Here is a 4,695-nt window from a genome sequence, read left to right on the forward strand (position 1 = left end):
GGATGTGGGCATAAACCGAGGAAAGATAATGCTTCCTAGAATTATTACTTGGAAGTTAGGGGTATAAGAACGTTGTGAATGAAGGACAAAAACAGATTTGAAAGTAGAAAATGATTTTTTTTTTTTTTAGCTTGGCTCTTATTAAGTTTGAGGAGAAATGGAGAGAGGTCTAAATGATAAGGTAGTCACTTGACATGAATAGTCAAGTTTAGAGACAGGCATGTTGGCTCATGCCTATAATCCCAATATTTGGGAGGCTGAGGCAGGAGGATCACTTGAGGCCAGGAGTTTGAGATCAGCCTGGTCAACATAGAGAGACCCTATCTCTTCACAAAAGTAACTAAAAATCAGCTAAGCATGGTGGCACACACCTGTAGTCCCAGCTACTCAGGAGTCTGAGGTAGGAAGATTACTTGAGCCTTGGAGTTCAACATTGCAGTGAGCTGTGATCACGCACTGCACTCCAGCCTGGGCAACAGAGCAAGACCCTTCAAAAAATATATAAACAAGCAAACAAACAAACAAAAAACAAACAAAAATCAAGTTTACAAATCTATCTCTTTAAAATTTTTCTTTTCAAGAGCTGCCTCCAAAGTGAGCTAATAAAATTGAATTTGCCAATGAAACAAAGTCTTTGCAAAACTGAAATATGAATCCCTTTTTCACCGATTTTGGAAAGTGTTTTGAATGTCTGGTGCTTTCATGGTGTCTGGATCCTGAAGGGTGGAACATCCATCTGGTTCTTATGTCTAGAGGTGAGTCCCCTTGAGAGACCTGTATTAAATGAAGTATGCCTTGCCTTGAATCCTGCAACTGCCAAGACAAGGTCAGGAACCCCACCATGAGGAATCAAGAAGGCCAGAGCATGGTTGGTGACTTCTTCTGCATCAGGGAGGTCACAGAGGTGTAGTGAGTTGCCGCCACCATCTGGCTGTGGCCTCAGCAAGGAGGAAATGAGGATCTCTCACAGCTGGGGCAATAAGACAGCCAAGCAAATGATCTTGCTGTGTGGACAAAATGTGTGAAAGATTTCACCAGTGCATCTCTCTGACAGCTCCTGGCATTAAAAGACACAGTTTTCTATACTCAGCTATTTTAAAAAAATTTTTAGTTGTTGGTGTTCTTAGTTTTCCCCAACAGGACACCATTCCCCTGCTGTAGAGGTGAAGAGAAGCTTTCTCTCTCTGTTCTTGAGACCTGAGAGAATTTCTTCCTAGGTGAAGATTTCAATGGTGTAGCTGGATGGCTTATCAGAGGGCATATAGAAAGAGCCAGATGCCATAAATCTTTCCTGGATATAAATAAATAGAACAGAATAAAACTAGACTCCTAATGCATTTCTAGGGACAAACAACCAATTGAGCATGTATTTATTGACCTGCTATGTGCTCAGCAATGTCATAGAGACTCTTGACAGTGGTAAGAGGAATATATGAAAAATATATGGGGTGAACCACCTTTTTTCCCAGCTATCGATACTAAATATCATTAAATATGTATATATTTGGCTCTTTCTATTACTGCTGCTATTTCTACATCACAGATGCTTATTTGTTAGTCACTACTGCCATTATCCCCACTGCAATTACTCACAGTGCTTTTCTCATAGTTTTTGAAAATAATTAGTGATCATTCAATAAAAAGCAACTTTTATTTCCAATATGATCATGACGATAATGACAAATACTACTATACTTGCTTTACTAAGGTAATGACAAATACTACTATACATGTTGTACTAATTATTTCTACTGTTTATTTAGTATTTTCTATATGTCAGCCATTGTACTCAGCCTTTACATACATTTTCTTATTTAATCCCTGCTTTTTTTCCATGTGGCCTTGGCTATAAGAATATCCTTTACTCTCTAGATGAGAAAATTCAACCGGAAAAAAAGTTGGACATTTTGCCCAAGTAGTTAGGGAAAAGAGTCTAGTCTCTGGAATATTGAAGATGCTCAAAAAACAATTGCCAATTAAGTTATTAACCCTAAAGATAATACTTCATTGTGTAGTCTTTGAGCCCAAATAGTAGCTGTTTAGCCAAAATTGTTTTATGGACATTTTATATGGCCCACACAAGTTTTTTTTAATGTAAATTAGGGAACATCATTTTAAATTGGGAGAATTCATGTCTCTCTGTCTCACGCAATTAGAATTTATAGACTGCTTTTGAAAAAAATGTAAGAAGTGGCTACTTCATACAATGTCCTATATCTTTTTTCCTTTTCTAAAAATGGACGCATTGTGACTGTACATATTTATAGGGTACAATTTGATGTTCTGTTACATATATATGTTGTATAATGATCAAATCAGAGTATTCAGCATATCCATCATCTCATACACTTATCATTGCTTTGTGACAAAGACATTGAAAAGCCTCTCTTCAAGCTATTTTATAATATACAATACCTTACTGTTAACCATGGTCACCCTACTGTGCAACAAAACACCAGAACTTATTCCTCCTAATTATAACTCTCTACCCATTGACCAGCCTCTCTTCATCCTCTCCATTTGCTCTCCTCCTCAGTCTCTGGTAACAACTGTTTTACTCTCTGCTTCTAAGATAGTTTCTCTTTTTTTCCTGTTTTTAGATTCCACATATGAGTGAGATCACCTTGTCTCGTATTTTGACCTGGAAATAATTTCCCGATGGGGAGTAGCAGCCAATGCCAGGTAGCCGCAGTATTTGCCCAGCCTGCTTTACCTGCTAAAAAGCCTGTAATCCTTTCAGTTTGAGACCTCCGAAAAAATGCATTGAAGTTTCATATCATACAGCCCCACAAATTTAATTAGTGAATTTGATGACTTGGAAGTGTAACCGCCCAAGAATACAGATCAGGGCAAGATGCAATAGTGTTATACTATGGCACAGACAGAAGCGGTATAAAAATTTGAGAACTGAAGTAGACCAATGTTCTAGGGTAAGCAGGGATGATTTCATGGGAGCAGTTGAACTTCAGCCATGATTGAATGATGGGCACCCTTTGTAAAAGTAGAGAGGAGAAAAAACACAATCGTTTTTGCATGATACCCACAAATAATAAAGGACATCACGAATCTGTGTCTCCTTAAGTTTTAGAAACAACAGCTTCTAGCAAGAGCACTGAAATTGGGATTCGTATTCACCAGAATCATACTGAGTTTTGAAATTCCCAAAATGGCCTGAGAATAGGTAAGTGAAGTTAAGTAAGACCTAAGGTCCTGGAAATGCCCTGAGAACTAATTGGCACTACAGAGATTCATGAGAGAATCCTTGTGGTACCACTTTCTGCCTCACAGAACTGACTTCACTTGCTGGGCCACATCCCCCTCTTTTCTTCTGCCTTCTGGTTCCTAATGCTTCCAGAAGGAGAGACACTGGGAAGCCCAAGGATTGTACCAATTATAATCAGCTCCATCAGTGTCACAGGGCAGGCACAAAACCTCCCAGTTCTTCCAGACAGAAACCTCTCTGGCTCTTGCTGTCAAGGCCAAAGTTGCCTACCCTCAAATTCCCAAAGTCACAGAAATCCTAACTTTCCAATCTCTCTAGCAATGTGGTTGCTGACCTTAGAGCTACCAATACCAAGTCTATTGTCTTAGGTTTGTTTCTACCAGAAAGAGGATTTTCCATCTTTCTGATATCCCAATGCAATGGAAGCAAATAGAGGGTGCTGAGTTAAATATTTTTTTTTGGCATCAAATAGATAGTATTTGATTCCTTTGCATACTCTTGGGCTCATTTCCTAATCATCTAATTCCTGGTATATTATTCAGTTTTCACACTGCCTTAAAGAACTTCCCTGAGACTAAGTAATTTGTAAAGGAAAGAGGTTTTATTGGCTCACAGTTCTACATGGCTGGGGAGGCCTCAGGAAACTTACCATCATGGTGGAAGGCAAAAGGGAAGCAAGCACCGTCTTCACAAGGCAGCAGGAGAGAGAAGCAAGCAAGAGTAGGGAAAAACTGCCTTATAAAACCATCAGATCTCATGAGAACTCACTATCATGAGAACAGTATGAGGGAAACCTTCCCCATGATCCAATCACCCCCCTCTCTGGGCATGTGAGGATTACAGGTCTCTCCCGCAACACATGGGGATCACAATGTGAGATGAAATTTGAGTGGTAATACAGAGCCAAACCATATCACTTAGTTTCCTTGTCTGTAAAATGTTGAAAATAGTTGTTATGAGAATTAAATCAGATCTGTCATGTAAAGCATTCAGAGCAGTAGCTAGCACATATTGAGCGCTCAAAATTCATTATTTCATGAATATTGTTATTGATGTTATTATTGCCATAAGGAGGTAATACGAGGCAAGAAAAAAAGAAGTAATATGAGAATTCCAGCAGAACTTGGCAAATTAGTGTACATTCCAGTGGATAATCACAATTCAGAGGTACAGGTGAGAGGTCCAAAGAAACTTCAATGTCATAAGCAAGGGAGGAAGTTGTATCTGTGTCTCTTAGAGAAATGTGAGAGGCAACATTCCATTCTGTGTTTTAGCAAGTCACAGGTAAAAATGCTAGTGACAAGTGCAAATGGTTTGCTCAGCACCTGGAAAGCGCATGGTGTGAACTTGTTCCACAGCTAGGTGCAGGCACCTCAGGGTGAGCCGAGGTGTGAATGAAACAAGAGACCCATTAATTCAGTGGCAGCTGGAGCAATGGAAGGCTAATTGCATTTCTAAAGAAGTGGTAATCT

This window comes from Homo sapiens, chromosome 20 (genome assembly GCF_000001405.40).
Source record: "Homo sapiens chromosome 20, GRCh38.p14 Primary Assembly".
Taxonomy (NCBI): Eukaryota; Metazoa; Chordata; class Mammalia; order Primates; family Hominidae; genus Homo; species Homo sapiens.